The sequence below is a fragment of the Homo sapiens genome, chromosome 14, assembly GCF_000001405.40.
Source record: "Homo sapiens chromosome 14, GRCh38.p14 Primary Assembly".
Lineage (NCBI taxonomy): Eukaryota > Metazoa > Chordata > Mammalia > Primates > Hominidae > Homo > Homo sapiens.
This window is the reverse complement of record NC_000014.9, coordinates 57,193,923-57,212,007: the sequence shown is the minus strand read 5'-3', so window position 1 is coordinate 57,212,007 and position 18,085 is coordinate 57,193,923. Positions and strand designations below refer to the sequence as shown.

Below are 18,085 nucleotides of genomic sequence, written 5' to 3'. Positions count from 1 at the left end.
TGTGCCTGTAGTCCCAGCTACTCAGGAGGCTGAGGTAGGTGGATCACTTGAGCCTGGTAGGTCCAGGCTGCAGTGAGCAATCATCACACTGCATTCCAGCCTGGTGATGGAGTGAGACCCTGTCTCAGAACACTTTTTTTTTGGAGACAGAGTCTTGCCCCAGGCTGGAGTGCAGTGATGCCATCTCAGCTCACTGCAACTTCATCTTCCCGGGTCAAGCAATTCTTCTGCCTCAGCCTCCTGAGTAGCTGGGACTACTGGCACCCACCACCATGGCTGGCTAATTTTTGTATTTTTAGTAGAGACGGGGTTTCACCATGTTGGCCAGTCTGGTCTCGAACTCCTGCCCTCAAGTGATCCTCCCACCTCGGCCTCTTAGAACACTTTCTTGAACAGCATACTAGCAACGGTGAACAGAGGCAGGAGTATGGAAGGTTTTCAAAATGAGCTGAGCATGAAAGATGCTGTATATGCTGTTGCCAGTGCTTGGAACACAGTAACTAAAGACAGTTATGCATGCCTGGCACAACCTCTGGCCTTCAACTATGTTCAGTGAAGAGGATGAACAAGGTGGTGACTTTGAAGATTTCCATATTTCAAGTGAGAAAAAAGTGACGTCTGACTTCTTACATATACAAAAAATAATACATTTAGAGTCCATCAGTAAGTTGGATGAAGTGAATATCAAAAGAATTTTTTAACATCAGTGAGACTCCAGTTGCTCATTCATGGACTGGTAGTGAAATAGCCAAAATGGTTCCAAATCAAGGTGATTGTGATAATAGTGACAAGGTGACGTTGCTAACACTGCAGAAAAAATGCCTATAGATTACATGGTGAAAATGTGCAATGGACTTATTAAAGGTACAGCAGTGTACATTCATAACAGAACAATAAGTCATATCAGTTTACAAAATCAAACAGAGACTTCTAAGACAAAAACCATTATTAATGAGGCAGATAATTCCAGAGGAAACTTTTAAGAAGCCATCCAGCAGAATATCTCCTCATCCAAAGAGGTCCTGCTTTCTGGTCTCTCAATTGCTTCTGTTGTTTCTTGTCACCTAAAAAAATAAAATATAGGATAGAGTAACCTTTTCATGAAAGCACAGCATGGTAGGTGGAGACTGAAAACCTGCTACATTGTTGTTGTTTAACAGGCAAACAGGTATTGTGGTTATGTTACTGTGCTGTTTGGTTACCTTAAATATCTTATTTTTTCTCTGTATGAATGACATGTCATCTTTTTTACTGTTAAGTACTTATGTGTGAGTGAGTATAAGAAAATGATTGCTTATTGGTAGCATATAAATTCAGAGTCAGGAGTGATGGTAATGCCAGACAGCCACGGATTGTCCACATGGGTGTCTGAGATAGTGACATCTTTGCTTTCTGATGGCTCAATGAACATAAACGTTTCATGTACAAAACTATTAAAATATTTTATAAAATTACCGTCAGTCTACATGTATAAGATATATATGAAACATAGATGAATTTTGTGTTTAGAATGGGTCCCGTCCCCAAGATATCTTATTATGTATGTACAAATATTCCAAAATCTGAAAAATTTCAAAATCCAAAACACTTCTGGTCCCAAGAATTTTGAGAAAGGGATACTCAACTTGTATATGGTTTTGCCTTTGAAAATCCTTAGTTGTTAAGGAATTAAATTAATGACAGACTTCTGAGATCTTTGAATCTTGAAGTATTGCACAAAGAATTTTTGCCCTCTGTTTTGAGCAGACAGATAATAAAACCAAGAGCTCTTTCATATTAAGACCTAGAGCTGACTTTTTCTAATATCTAAAGTTTACCAATAGTAAAAGAGTTTCATGGTGATAGGAAATTAAATAACTGATTTAATTTAGCATAAATAATATAATTAAACATAAACATAGAGTAAGTTAGATGGGTTAAAGAATGTTGTATTCTCAATTCTCTAGGACATTAAATTGTATGATTGGACAGATGAAGCATATTTTGGCTGCAGAACAGAAGAAAACAGATTTTAAGCCAGAAGATGAAAACAATGTTTTGATTCAATATACTAATGTGAGTAAAATCATTCAGTTTGTTAATACTTTGTTAACATTTTCATTGGTGTATCCTACTGTGCCCTAGATTTTTTTCTTTTATACTTAAAGATTAATGAGAAACTGTATTTCCTCTTTAGCTAAGCTGGTATACATTCCTGTGTAATGAGTGTAGAAAAACTTTTATAGGCCTGTGTAAAAGTCTGTGCTTACGTAAGAAAACAAGTGGAGAAGATTAAAAATTCCATGGATGGGAAGAATGTGGATACAGTTTTGATGGAACTTGGAGTACGTTTTCATCGACTTATCTATGAGCATCTTCAACAATATTCCTACAGTTGTATGGGTGGCATGTTGGCCATTTGTGATGTAGCCGAATATAGGAAGTGTGCCAAAGACTTCAAGGTATGTGTACACAAAAACATCAAACTTGCAAATAGGCCCAGGAGCATAAGTCAGATTATTAAAAATCACTATTTACTTATAATTAGTGAAAGGTTTATAACTTTTGTTGATATTGTATGAGATAGATTATCACATTCTACCTGAAACAGTGTTGTTCCAATTATTATTTTTTTTTATTTTAAATTTTAAATTTTTATTTATTTTTTTTCCAAAGAGTTTCATGATGTTGCCCAGGCTGGTCTCTTACTCCTGGGCTCAAGTGATCTGCTGCCTCAGCTTCCCAAAGTGCTGGGTTTACAGGAATGAGCCACCACATCTGGCCCATATATTTAATATTAAACCCATTTTTGCTTTATGGTGTATTTTCAGTTCCACAGTCTTTGACTTATTGACATCCATGACTAATGTTATATATGTCACACATTAGGAAAAAAATGTTGTCTTCATTTATGTCCCCCTGAATATTTCTGTAACATTTAAATTATGAAAAATGCTGTATGTTAATAACTAGTTTTAGTCCTCTGAAGTATATATGATTGTTACTATTGAAGAGAATTGACACATGAATCTTTTTGAAATATTATAGCAAGTTTATTTAACTACTGAAATCTTTAAGTTTTAATGCATTGTGATCTTTAAAAAATTCTAATATGTTGAACTTCACCCACACTAGTAAGTCCCACCTGACAGTATGTAAAAAGTTACAAGCTAATTGTAAAACTGGAAATTGTTTTGTTTCAATGTTACTTTTTTTCTTCTCTCAATTCAGATTCCAATGGTATTACATCTTTTTGATACTCTGCATGCTCTTTGCAATCTTCTGGTAGTTGCCCCAGATAATTTAAAGCAAGTCTGCTCAGGAGAACAACTTGCTAATCTGGACAAGAATATACTTCACTCCTTCGTACAACTTCGTGCTGATTATAGATCTGCCCGCCTTGCTCGACACTTCAGCTGAGATTGAATTTACAAAGGAATTCAGTGTCAGTTCCTTTACAGAGGAATGTCTTATACTTCAGCAGCCCTCGGTTGATAGAAAGCACAGGAGATACCTTATGACACAGCCAACATTTTGTGAAACAATGACTGGAACAAAACAGCAGCCATACTTACCTTTGAGGTTTTATTTAAAGTTTGGATACCACTAGCTATATTTTGCTTTTTTCCCCTCACATTGAATTTTAATTCCATTCTTGAATGTAGAAATTTCAGATTCTCTAAAACTACATGTCACTGTTTTTATCCTAGAAAATGTTGCTGTCAGAAGGCAAAGGAAATGTTACCAGTGTTTTCGGTTCTTGTACTTTTAACATATTCCATTTAGAAATTTTGCCATTCTGTTTTCCATTAATAATAGGTGAAATACAGGAAAACTACATTTGTTATTCCTCAGTTTTTAATGACCTTTTCAGCATCAATTGTTAATCAGATTATTTTAGGTTTTCGTAAATAATTTTTTTGCCTCTTTCAAAAGGTTAACAATTAAGCATACTTTCTGCAGTTGGTTGATTGGATTTTTTTCTGAGGTACAGCATTAATACTAGTCCAAAAAATGTCATAAACTGAACTAAAATGATGAACTATTTTATGTAGACATTAGGAGTGGATCGGAATACTTCTGCTTTCTGGGTAAAACTTAAAAGTTTACTATTTCTTATTTGGTAAATAGATTTTAAGCCAATTCTAGTAAGAAATTAATAAAACTACCTTATTTTGTATTTCACTTAAGGTGGAGGACCTTAACTAAAGGACCATATTTATTCATTATTTTAATATTATAAGGGAAGTAAAAAAAAGTGAGGTATAGTCTAAATGGTGCATATAGGAAATACTGACAGTGTTTAGCAACATGCAGCCCTTTGAGATTTCTGTCGTAATGCTAAACTTGAATAAGATGGAATGGCTGAACATGTGGTTAGTCTTTTATTTTAAGAAGAATTGAGAATTGATAGATTTGGAGATGAGCTTTGCAAAGGCTGTTTGCTTTTCATGTCTATAGGTCTGTCATTGTCCTTTTTCAAAGCATTTCTGAAGTTATTCCTACTTGGATATAGTTAATGGAATTGGCTTAATTTGATGACATAATAAATCACTTATAAAATTTTAAATATCAAGTGAAAATTTAGAAAGGCCATTACTATTCTATAAACCTTATAAACTTGCTCTGGGAGAATGCATTCTAAATTATATATAGTGTTTCAGCTCCCATTGTGGTGTTCATAGTCTTCTAGGAACAGATAAACTTAAGTATTCAATTCACTCTTGGCATTTTTTCTTTAATATAGGCTTTTTAGCCTATTTTTGGAAAACTGCTTTTCTTCTGAGAACCTTATTCTGAATGTCATCAACTTTACCAAACCTTCTAAGTCCAGAGCTAACTTAGTACTGTTTAAGTTACTATTGACTGAATTTTCTTCATTTTCTGTTTAGTCCAGTGTTACCAAGGTAAGCTGGGGAATGAAGTATACCAACTTCTTTCAGAGCATTTTAGGACATTATGGCAGCTTTAGAAGGCTGTCTTGTTTCTAGCCAAGGGAGAGCCAGCGCAGGTTTTGGATACTAGAGAAAGTCATTTGCTTGTACTATTGCCATTTTAGAAAGCTCTGATGTGAATTCAAATTTTACCTCTGTTACTTAAAGCCAACAATTTTAAGGCAGTAGTTTTACTGGCCATTTAAGCTCTTTGTACAGTGTCAATTTGTAAAAAAGAAAAAACGAAAAAAAATCTCAAATAAAACATGAGATAACATTTTAAGACTTCCAAATCAGAGAAGTGCTTCAAATTATTTTGTTTGGATTAATTTTTAAAATGTAAAGCATATACTTGTTGCTTAGTTATTTTGTTTATTATTTTCATGTTTGAGTTCTGTGCAATATTTTCTATTATGTCCGTTGATAGGACAGTGACAAAATTCGTAAGTGAATACTTAATTTAAAAGTGTTAACATTAATGCTCAATAAACAAATTCCCTGCAGTTGTTTTTTTTATTTCACTCTTTTTATATTTTAGAGCCATCCATCCTGAATTTTATAAATGATTTTTTATTTAAAAATTTGAGATTTTTAAAATTTTTCACAGCACAGGTCTTCTCATTTTCTTTTTTAGCAAAAAATACTTGACTATATAAACAAGACTAGAAATTTATCCTAAACAGATGGTCTTTCTCTGAGGGAAAAAAAAAAATGTGTCATGTGAGGCAATATGCATTCTTTGTATTCTGATTTTTTAAGTGTTTTCATATTTATAGCCATCACAAAATTTTGCCCAAAGTGTATGGCTCAGAAGAGATGATCAATAACTAAAATGTTTTTCGTTTTGCACATGGTAAAATTTTAGGTAGAGAGTGGAGCTTTGTATAATTGGTAACTTTAACCAACATTTACGTAAGTACGGTCTTTGCAGTATTACACAATACCGCATGAGCTAATATGCAGTATTTAGGTAATGCATTGAATGAAGTTGAAAATATGCTCTTAACACACTGTGCATTGTTTTTCTAAAATTGAGAAATATCTGAAATACAGAATACGAATTTAATAAAGGAAGCCTACCTTATGTAAATTATGATGTTGAAAATGACAGTCAACCAGAGTAGATGAAGTGTCCTTATGAAGAATTATTAAATAGTAGCTGGATGGATCTTTAGATGGATGACCACCTGACCATTCCAGGACAATTTTTGGTCCCATTTTGAGGATTGCCATAGTTGCAAGTCCTTAGGATCTTCCTTGTTTTAAAAAACTATCAAAGTAGGTTAAATTAAAATCTAATTTAAATTAGGTTAATTTATATTACATTGTAGATCATTCTTTTTTCCCCCCTCTTTCACTTCTAAATATTTTGCTTTCTAAATACTAGCCTTCTGGTTCACAGTGAAATAATTTAATTATCAATCAGTAGATTGATTCCAAGTGGAGAATTCACTGCTTCCCTAAAATGCGTTTTTCTTACCTGTAATGGTGAATATTTACAAGGATCTGGATAAAGAGATTTTGATTTTTGAAATGCCACAAAACCCCTTAAAGTGGTCAAGTACCTAAGGTAGTGGCTAAGGCATGCTTGAACTGTGTTTGAGAGACAGCAGTTCAGTCAGTACATAATTTGTTGGTGACTAACAAAGCTCACATCTGGGAGATTAACTTTTTTTAACGCAAAAATATTCTGCACATTACCCATATATTGTTGAATTTTACATACAAAGCATTTTGTGCTTTCATTCAATTAGTTTAACTATATTCAGTTTCTGTATTATTTCTCTCTGATCTATCCTGTAATTATTCTATACTTTAGAAGAAAAGATCAGTTCATATTGTTAGACTGAATAATTCTACATGAAGTTAAAAGTTAGCAATTTAAAAAATTTTGCTGCATAATAAAGATAATTATAGTTACATGTATTGATTTAAGTCTCACACACTGTGCTAATAAGTCCTTTGCACATATTATTGGATTCTAGAGCAACCCTAGGATTTGGGTACTATTATTTCCATTTGACAGATGAAAAACCTAATGCATAGAAAGATAAGTAGACCAGTCAAGGTCTACAGCTAGTAAAATGCTCAGATTGAAACCTAAATCTTTTCTCACTCACTTTTAGGTTCTATATGCTATTCTCCTTACGTAACGTTAAATAGATCCTTTAGTTTGATAGGTTCATTAGTTTTGCTTAATCGTTGCTTCCAATATGATTCTTATTGTAGTATTTATATTACAAAGTTGGCATACAGGGTCAATATCTAATTTACTGTTGTGTTTTTCTTAATATGTTCAATGTATGGTCATACTTTTTAAATTTGATTTTTTAAATATTATAAGTGGTCATGAAATTTTAATGTTAAGTTTGTACCTAATAGAAATATGTCTATCACAAATCTTTATTGGTATTATTTTATATACTTTTCCAGCTTGATAATTTTCACAATAGAAAGAGACCAAATATTTTGTACTATATTTTGTGACATAGAAGTAAATGACAACTCTACCTTGGAAGATATGAAGAAATCAGTGTTTTTATGTTCAAAAACTATTTTAAATGTCATAGGCTTGCCAATTGTGTTAACTATTTAGTACATTGGTAGTTTTTAAATGACTAATGCTGGAGTGAAAATGTAAGGCAAAATATTTAGTATATTAACAGTAGATAGTCATTTTCATGTAATCAGAATTGCATGTTAAGGGTTTTAAAAGCTGTCATAACTCTTACCTTTTATTTCTACCAGTGATCAATCATTTCTCTTTACAAATTTAGGGAGGAAACAACTGTTCAAATGTATAGGGGACAGAAACCTGACATTTAGAGAACAGAAATTTTAATTGCCAAATTAAAGCAGCTAGGCTGCCCCTGGGCTTAACAAAATTCCTATTTTTGAACTAGACCCGAGGTATTTTATCATTATTATTTGATAGGTACCATTAACCTTTGTTTTGTGATTATCGACTTTTGGGGGGAAAGATGAGTAATTAAACACACTCGCCCATTTTCTAAGTGGTTTAGAAGGTTGCAGTCTGCCTCACCATACAAAGCCAGTTTAAATAGGAATATATCACATCATACTTCACATAGCAGTCAACCTCAGAGGAAAGTCATTTATTCAGAAGGCATAGATTTTGCTAGACAGCAGTGATGCATTACAAATATATAATTATTTGCACTAATATTTGAGCAGGTGGAATGGATTAGAACATGGTCAACATCATGCTGCTGATAACATGTATTTTTCTATATTAATATGTACTGTGCAACATGTATTAAAATTGTCAATAATTCATTTTAGCCAAGATACTAATATTTATATTACTGTGTTTAAGAGACAGTATCCAACTGAGCCACTTTTAATTTAAAAGTCTGAAACTGGAATTAAGTTTACTTTCAAAAATCACTTAAATTACTTTATAATCAGTGAAAGGTCAGTAAAATGTAGAATTATAAGTGCCTAGTGACTTAATAGGAGGAAATATGGAGGGTTAAGGAAGGAAGTAGGAACCTGGAATAAGAAAGCTAAGTTTCATTTATAGTTCCAATGAGTGACTTTCTTTGTTTTCACCACTGGGAATCTTAAATGAAGAAAGTGTCGTATCCCTTCCAGTTATCTTTATGTTAATAAACTAAGTGAAGTTTGGATAGAACTAACAAAGGAATTAGTCTCCATTGGTGGACTTCCAGAGTTTTGAGATTAAACTTTGAGAGGTGAGAAGCCTTCCTGATGCCCCTGTAATCTTAAATTGGCAGGTGCCTCTAAGTGAGGCCATCCCTCTTTGCCTGCCTATCATTTTAATCTTTATACTGTAACTGGTTCCTTTCAACTCTGGCCTTTTATTGTAGCACTTTTATCAAGTCTGCAGCTTCCCAGCTACTTGGGAGGCTGAGGTGGGAAGAACACTTGAAGCTAGGAGTTCAAGACCACTCTGGGCAACATAGTGAGTCCCTGTTTTTAGAAAAATAAATAACCTTTAGGTTTTTGCTATAGAAAATATCCAAATAGAGTCTGGACAATGCTGGATGTAAAGAAAACTGTGAAGCTACCTCTAAGCATATTGTTTGTGAATACTGTGTACCATTTAGAGGATAACATGGGGGATTCACATGAAGTTATGTGAAAATATTTTATAAGGAATAATACCTAAGTGCCTCTCTTAAGTTCTCCAGTAGAATGTATTTTCAATTTTTGCCACAAGGGGGAGAAGTTATTTTTATAGTAATATGTACATTTTTTTATTTTAAAAATAGAATTCACACAACTTTACAGCATCTATGAACATTTTGCTATCCCAATTATGTGTGTGTGTGCATGTGTGTAAACAAGATTCTGAAAGTCTTGCATGAGAAAAATTTCAAAGGAAATTAATAACAAAACCAAAACAGTTTTGAAGAACATGTGCACAGTGGACACAGGAATTGAACAAAGTTTACCATGATTAACATTATGTTTTCTTAGTTATATATCACATTGAATTCCTTTATCAACTCTAATAAGAATCTACTGATTAGTGTTCTACATTCTGCTTTTTAAAGAAAAATTTTTGAAACAATCAGACTTAACAGAAGGGTTGTAAATACTGTACAAATAAAATTTTTCCCTTTTGAGAATAAGTCGCTGTCATGATGCTGCACCACCCTCCAATACTTTTGTATTTCCAAGAAGAAAGAATGCTTCAGTATAACTACAATACATGAAAATTGGGAAGTTAACATTGACATATTACTACTATCTAATCCTCAGACACCAATCATTTTACTAGCTGTCCTAATTCCTTTTAAGGATCTCAGTTCAAAATCATGTATTGCTTTAGGTTGTAGTGGCTCTAGTCTCATTCATTCTGACACAGTTCCACAGTCTTTCCTTGACTTTTTTGACTCTGGACATTTTTATAGATTATAGGGTAGTTACTTTGTAAAACACCCCTACATTTGGATTTCTGTTTCCACGTAATTAGATTCTGTTTGTGCTTTTTGGCAGACATACCACGGATGCAACTCTGTGTTATTGTTGCATCCTATCACATAGTACACAATTTCAATTTGCCCCATTTCTGATGATGTTCATTTTTATCACTTTCTTAAGGTACTATTTACCAGGCTTCTCCACTTTAAAACTATTACTTTTCCCTTTGTAAATATTTTGGAGGTAGATATATATTAATAGATACAGACATATATAGGTCCCCCTTATTTATTTATTTGCAGACAGAGTCTCGCTCTGTTGCCCAAGCTGGAGTGCGGTGGCGTGATCTCAGCTCACTGCAACCTCTACCTCCTGGGTTCAAGCGATTCTCCCACCTCAGCCTCCCAAGTAGCTAGGACTACAGGCACATGCCACCATGCCTGGCCAATTTTTCTATTTGTAGTAGAAATGGGGTTTTGCCGTGTTGGTCAGGCTGGTGTCAAACTCCTAGCCTTAAGTGATCTGCCCACCTCAACCTCCCAAAGTCCTGGGATTACAGGTGTGAGCCACCTTAACCAGCCATCCTTTATATATATATATATATATATATATATAATATTAATATATATAAAAATATATGTATATGTGTGGTGTGTGTGTATATATATACATATGTGTGTGTATATACACGTGTGTTTATACACGTGTGTGTACATATACACGCGTGTGTATATATACACACGTGTGTGTGTGTATATATATATACTAATCAGAATTCTCTTGATATCACTATGTATTCATAGTTTTCTGTTCAACTAATTATAATCTGTCATTTTACCAAATCTCAAATTATCCCAAATTTGGTCAGAAGTAGCCTCTTCAGGTTGTCTCCTGTGTCGTTTTGGCATGTTCCCATCATTTTTACAGCAATTTATTCTGGGCACAACAGGATTTTCCAAGGTCATCTTGTACTTGCCTTGCCCCAGCTCTGGAATCAGCCATTCCTCCACCTTTTAGTGAAATTGGCAGTTAGAAATCAAGATTTGTGCATGAGATGTGCTTATTATTATTGAGATGTCTCACCCTACTCTTTCTCAATAGATAATGCTAGGGGGCTTTATGTGTGCATACACACACACACACTCACGCATATTTTAAATATACACCCACACCCATGCGCCCCTCTGCAACATCTTCCTCACCTCACTTGAGCTTCCATACTCCATACTGGGCTTCCCCTCTCTCTGGAGGAGACCATCCTCATCTCACATAGCTCTTGAAGTTTTGGCTTTAGGACCAAATTGAGGGAATAAGAATGGTCATTGCAGAAATCCTGTAAAAATTTTAAAATATTAAATTTAAAAATTACAATTTTATCACGCAGAAACAACTATATTTTTGGTGGAAGTTTTTTTTTTTTTTTTTTAATGTAGTGAGCAAATTAGTAAAGCTGAATTGAGGAGGGGGTAAAGTGTTATGCCCAAGACACAGAACTTACATTTTGAAAGAATTAAATTTGAAATGCATACCGTATGTTTTTCTATTATACAATCTCCTTGCTACTGTAATTGCTATTTAATAAGAGTGCATCAGAGAAACTGTATGAATGGAAACCTGACCATTAAGCACTGAATACCAATAGGATATTTTTACTAATAAAGTTCAAAGGAAAAATGATCATACAATTGTTGTTTTTGTAGGCCATTAAAAATATATATGCTAAGAAGGATAGACTTCATGTGAGAAAGGAGTCTCTGGGCTGGATCTATTATAATAGATGTTACAATAAACTTAATGTGAAATAGGAGTCAAATGGAGGCACAAAGAAGTTAAATAACTTCACCAAAATTATATATCTAAAAAGTAATAGAATTCAAACTTACATCCTTAGGCTTCTATAGCCTATGTTTTAACCACTTTGCTCTGTTACCTCTAAGAAGATTTCATAAAAGAGGTCACATTTCAGCTGAGCTTTAAAAAGGCAAGTAGCATTTCATCAGTGGTGGAGGAGAAGGGGAATTCTAGGCAGAAGTAACTTATACTTGCAGGGTGTGGAGGCATGAGTCACTGGTATATCACTGAATGGAAAAACTGCTGTGTGAGTAGAGCTCAATGTGTGGGGTCCATCAAAAAGGGCAAGTTAAAACGAATATTTGGATTGGGGTTAGCTTATTTAGAGCCTTTAGGCCGGGCGTGGTCGCTCATGCCTATAATCCGAGCACTTTGAGAGGCCAAGGCGGGTGGATCACCTGAGGTCAGGAGTTCGAGACCAGCCTGGCCAACATGGTGAAACCCCGTCTCTACAAAAATACAAATGGCGGGTGCCTGTAATCCCAGCTACTCGGAAGGCTGAGGTGGGAGAATCGCTTGAACCCAGGAGGCGGAGGTTGCAGTGAGCCGAGATTGTGCCATTGCACTCCAGCCTGGGTGACAGAGCAAAACTTAGTCTCAAAAACAAACAAAGTCTTTAAAATGGTATCCCAATTAATTTAGGCTTTATCATAAAACCAGAAAACTATTGAGAATTAAGTAAGTGAATGACATGAACAATTCTGTGTTTTAGAAAAAGATAACTGGTCAGAATGTATGCAGTGGACTAAAGGAGAAGAGAGGGCAGAAACCAGGCTACTGCATTAATCTGGTGAAAGCCTGAACTGGGGGAGTAGCACAGGAATGAAGAGGAGGTGATGGATTCAGGGAATATTTGGAAGATTAAACCAATAGGACTTATTAATTGTTGCTTTATTAGATGTGGGGGGTAAGCAAGAAAAGGAATCAAAGATGATTCCGAGATTCTTAGTTTACATATCTTGGTGAATACCAACACTATGGACTTAAAATATATACCTTAGGAAAAGTAGGTCTAGGAGGAATGCCACTGACTACTGAAAGAACATCTCTTTTGCCAGAACTTGGTTCAGGTCATGCAAAAAATTTAAACTTCATAATCTGCTAGAAGTTGTGGCAGGAGAAAAAAAACTCCATCTATGGCTTTGAAAATAGGAGAATGATTTTTAAATTTTAATGGTATATAATTTGATTTTTATATATAATTGTTTGCATTGTTTTTTACTTAAAGCCAAAAAAAAAAAAAAAAGGAATTAAAAAGCTTTCCAACATTTTAGTGCTCGAATATAATGGGTAGACTCAAATGGAATAACACCGGTTGCCCTTTTTGATGTCAGTCCTTTAGAGAGTGTACACTGGAAGGTCTAAATATGATTTTCTCTGGTTGGATTATTCACATGCTAGGAATGCTTTACATTCTGATTCAAATTCTAAGCCAAAATCTTCCACTTTATCACTTAGGACATCAAGTAGTCTCTTCCAGGAAGATACTGCAGACCTTGAGACCCTGCAGATCTAGAACACAATTATCAGCCATTATATTTTAACTATGATTCCATAGGTTGCATGTTTATCTCAGTAAGGTCAACAAAATGACTCCTTGGCAATATTATGTGGGAAGTGTAATGACACATTATGGATATACCACAAACTCATTTCCTTTGACTTCATGGATTTCAGATAGGGGTTTTGAAAGTACACTTAAAAAAAAATCATTTATCACGCCTGTAATCCCAGCACTTTGGGAGGCCGAGGCGGGTGGACCACGAGGTCAGGAGTTCAAGACCAACCTGGCCAAGATGGTGTAACCCCACCTCTACTAAAAATACAAAAATTAGCCGGGCATGGTGGTGGGCACTTGTAATCCCAGCTACTCCAGAGGCTGAGGCAGGAAAATCACTTGAATCTGGGAGGTAGAGGTTGGAGTGAGGTGAGATCACGCCACTGCACTCCAGCCTGGGCAACAGAGCAAGACTCTGTCTAAAAAAAAAAAAAAATCCTTTAGAGGTTTAACATAATCAGGTTATTTAAAGCAGGCTGCTAGTTAACCAAAGGATTACCAGATTACTCTGGAGGTAATTTTATTTTCAGATCTAGTTGGAAAATATCCCACATTGTCATTCTTACATTGCCTATGGTTTCTATTCTACTTTAAGAATTATATTAATACAACAAAATGAAATAATTTTTGGTGTGATTACTAATGGCTTTGACCAAAAGAGCATTTACAGAATGTTGAATATTTTAATAGCTAAAAGTTATAGATACAAACTTCATTAAAATTCTGAAAATTTAGTCAATATTTTAATTTTAATGTATAACTTTTGTTAGTAAACAGAAACATGTTTAGATTTTAATTTTTTATTTTTCTGTGATGGAGATTATATAAAACTAAAAATGTCACACATATCCACAGAATACACATTCATTTCAAGTGTACATGGAAATTTACAAAATTATGTGCTGGACCATAGTGTCCTAACAGTTTTTAAAAATTTGAAATTATTCAGAGTGTTCCAGTGACTGCAATGGAATTAAGCCAAAAATAACAAAAAGCTTACCGAAGTTTTTTATACATTAGGGAATTAATGCAATTTTAACCTAGGAGTGAAGAAATTACAATGGAAATTTTAAAATATTTGAATTTTTCAATTTTAAATTGAATTTCAATTTCAATTTCAATTTCAATTTTAAAAAATTTGAAAAAATTATAAAATGCAATTTATCAAAACTTGTGGGATGCAAAATGCATATATTAGGAAAAAAGGAAAGCTGAAAGCAATTATTTAAATATCCACTTCAATATTAAACTTTCAAATTAAACATTAAGGAAGGAAAGAAGGAAGGAAACAAAAACTAGAACAAAATAATAAAATATAAACAAATATAAAATATAAACAAAAACAAATAGAAAGGAGAAACCAAAGGTTATTATTATTATTATTTTGGTGAAGACTAATAAAACTGATAAACCTCTGGCAAGACTGACCAAGAAAAAAAAGAGAAAGCACAACCAACCTCAGGAATAAGAATGGAAGCTTCCATTTGTTCTACAGATATTAAAAAGAAAAAAGGTTATCGCCAACTCTTGCCACCAAACATAAATAATAGATTAAGTGGTTATTTTATTTCAAAAAAAGGTTTAATTTACCAACATCGATATAAGATAAAACTAGAAAATATTAACAGTCTATGTCAAAAATAGTGAATCCATAATTAAAGACTTTCCTATGAAGAATACTTAGGCTCCAATGACTTTCCTGATAAATTCCTCCAAACATTAAAGGGAAAAATAATACCAATATTGTTAAACTCTTTCAGAAAGTAGTAAAGGAGAGAGAACATCCCAACACATTTTATGAAACCAGCATAACCTTGATGTGAAAAATTAACAAAGACATTACAAGAAACGAAAATTACAGAGCAGTCTCTCTCGTGAACATAGATGTAAACATCCTGAACAAAATATTAGCAACCCAAACCCAGTAGTATGTAAAATAGAGAATACATTGCAACCATATCAGACTTACTTCAAAAGTAGGTTGATTAGACACTTGAAAGTCAATGAAATTTACCATATTTAAAGAATTAGGAAAAAATCATCTCAATAGAAGCAGGAAAAAAGCAGGTAGTGAAGTTCAATATCCATTTATTATTTTAAAGAAACATAGCAAATTAGGAATTAAAAGGAATTTCTTTAATATGCCAAAGTATCTGCAAAAAATATATGGCAAACATTATTATAATGGTGAAATATTGAAAGCTTTCTTCCAGAAGTCAGTAATGAAGCAAGGATCCTTGCTATCACCTCTGCTTAGCAATGTACTGGAGATCCTCGCCAATGCAATAAGGCAGAAAGTAAGAAATAAAACTCATTATTTGCAGGTATGATTGTGTACATAGGAAGTTCATATAAGATAAACTATTAAATGAATTTAGCAAGGTTGCTGGATACAGAATCAATATACAAGAAACTAATTATTTCTTTACACCAGCAATAAACAATTTGAAAATAAAATTTAAAAAATACCAATTACAAAAGCACCAAAACATCAAATATATAGGTTTGTGAAAAACTGTAAAATATCGTTGAGAGAAATTAAGGGAGTGAAAGGCCATATTCATGAATTGAAAGACTCAATATTATAAATCAGTTCTCCACCAAGTGACCCAAACATTTAATAAAATCCTGATTAAAATCAGCAGATTCGTCATGGGAATTGGCAAGCTGATTCTAAAATTCATATGAAAATGCAAAGGTCCAATAATAGCCACTGGATACCAACACTTATTTAAAAGTTACAATAATTAAAACAATTTGATGTTGGCCAAGGAAAAAGAAATAAAACTATAGAGCAAAATAGGAAGTCCAGAAATAGACTGACAAATGCACAGATACTTGATTTATGACATAATTGGCACTGCAGAGTAGTGGGGGAGAGGCAGTTTTTAAAAAATGGTCTACTGTCTCTCACTCTAGATCTTGACCCCTCTTAATAGCATACACAAAAATAAATTCTAGGTGAATAATGCACTTAAATATGAAAGATGAAACAATAAAGCTTCTAGAAGATGACATAGGCAAATATCTTCATGATGGTGTAAGCAAAGATATCTTTATAGGTAACAAAAACAACAAAACTAAATTAAATTAAAATTAGGAACTTCTGCTTAAATCAATTTGTGGACTTATCTGGGCTTTGAGAAATCCCTTCTGCTATGGTAGAATTTTACCGTTTGGACTGTGGGAATCAGATCCCCCTCTGGGTGGGTAGGACAGAAGCTTTCATCTGGAAGGAAAAAAATATTCCCACTACCAGTTATCCTAAGGCAGAAAATGAATAGACTTTGGAATTAAGAGTGAAGAAGTAGGAGCAAAAGAGCCTCTGAATCTTTGGGGCCAAGAGGTTGGGTAACTGGATTTAGAGGTATAAAGACTCTTGAAAAGTTTTGTTGATAGGAGTTTAAGAATTGAAAGGCAAAACAAGTATTTGCAATATAAAATATAGTTGCCAAAAGATTCATATCCAAAACATATGAAAAATGTATATGTCATTAAGAAAAATATAATCCAATAGAAAATGGGCAAAACATTTGAGACTTGATCCACAAAAGAGAATATCCAATGCCCAATGGACATATGAAAAGGTCCTCAACCTCACTGGTCACCAGAGAATTACAAATTAAAACCACAGTGAGATGCCATTACACATCCCCAGAATGGCAAAAAATAAGCCCTAACAATTCCACGTGTTTGTAAATGTGAAGCAAGTGAAACTCATGTATGTTTCTGGTGAGAATAGATAGATATATTGCTATTTGGATAACTATGTTTGTTTCTACTGCATATGCCTACCCAGCAATTCCACTCTTTCCTTTGAAAAGAAGGATGGTGTCTGAGGATGGCAAGATGGTAGCTTCTAGGATGTTTTATTTGTTGATCTGAGCAGAGTTACATGAGTGTGTTCACTTGATAATAATTCATTGATAATACATTTACAATTTGTTCACTTATTAATTTAAGTTACATTCTAATAAAAGGGTTATTTTAAAAAAGTAACTGAAACATAACTACTTCAGTTTTTTATTCATAGCCATTAATGGTGCTGTAAAAAATACTATAGAACCTAAAGTCACATTTTCTAGAACTTTCTGGATATAATACAACTTCTAGCTTGTACTACTTGTTAATAATTAACATAATTTGACCTCAAAGCATAAAAACTATTGTAGTAATTCCTGTAGATGGGTTAAAACATATGTATATATAATATTTTTGTATTAATAATATATTTTTTCCTGTTATCCTTTCATTATACATGCTATAAATACTCCAAACATTATAGAAATATGCAGTATAGTATAACCAGAAATAGATAGTGTAGTGTATTCCTGCTTTATTGGCTTGGGCTATAAAAGGTCAATTTTTAAACAAATATTAAAACTGTAACAACTCCAATCCAACACCTTGAATTCCCCCTAAATCTGAGGTTTTAGTGGTTAATAAAGTTTTACTGCATGCTTGGGGGATAACCACAGTATACCTCCAAAGTGATTTACTTTGCCATTGGCAATGATTTTTCTTAGGTTCAACAGCCCCAAATTTAATATCAGGGACCCTCTGGAGTTTCTGTCAGGCTCCACATGTTGAGGTCAACTTAATGCCCACCAATAAAACTCTCTGAGAACTTTTATGCTCCAAATCCAGACTCAGAGAAGCTCTTTCTGCCCTACCCCATTAGTCCTGATTTCAAGACCCGTTCATTTTTCTGCCTTAAAATGATTGAGATGGGACCAGAAGGTCAGTCACAGTAGAGTGGGTTTCTCATATCTCAAGTTAGTTCATTTTAATATCACCACATAGGAACACTATCTAAATCTACACATAGGAAAGCACATCTCCAGAGCTTCAA

The 18,085-nt window shown here is 33.7% G+C and overlaps 1 protein-coding gene across 3 annotated transcripts in view; it reads left to right on the top strand.

Moving 5' to 3' along the window:
- EXOC5 (exocyst complex component 5) overlaps positions 1–11,501 on the top strand; it is a 68,399-nt gene extending 56,898 nt beyond the window's left edge. For all 3 annotated transcript variants that reach the window (NM_006544.4, XM_005267272.4, XM_047430882.1), the window contains exons 16-18: positions 1,947–2,055; positions 2,226–2,441; positions 3,211–11,501. In NM_006544.4, coding sequence (NP_006535.1) covers positions 1,947–2,055; positions 2,226–2,441; positions 3,211–3,399 — 514 coding nt within the window. In that variant the 3' untranslated portion in view covers positions 3,400–11,501. The remainder of the gene's footprint in view (positions 1–1,946; positions 2,056–2,225; positions 2,442–3,210) is intronic.
- Positions 11,502–18,085: the final 6,584 nt, after the last annotated feature.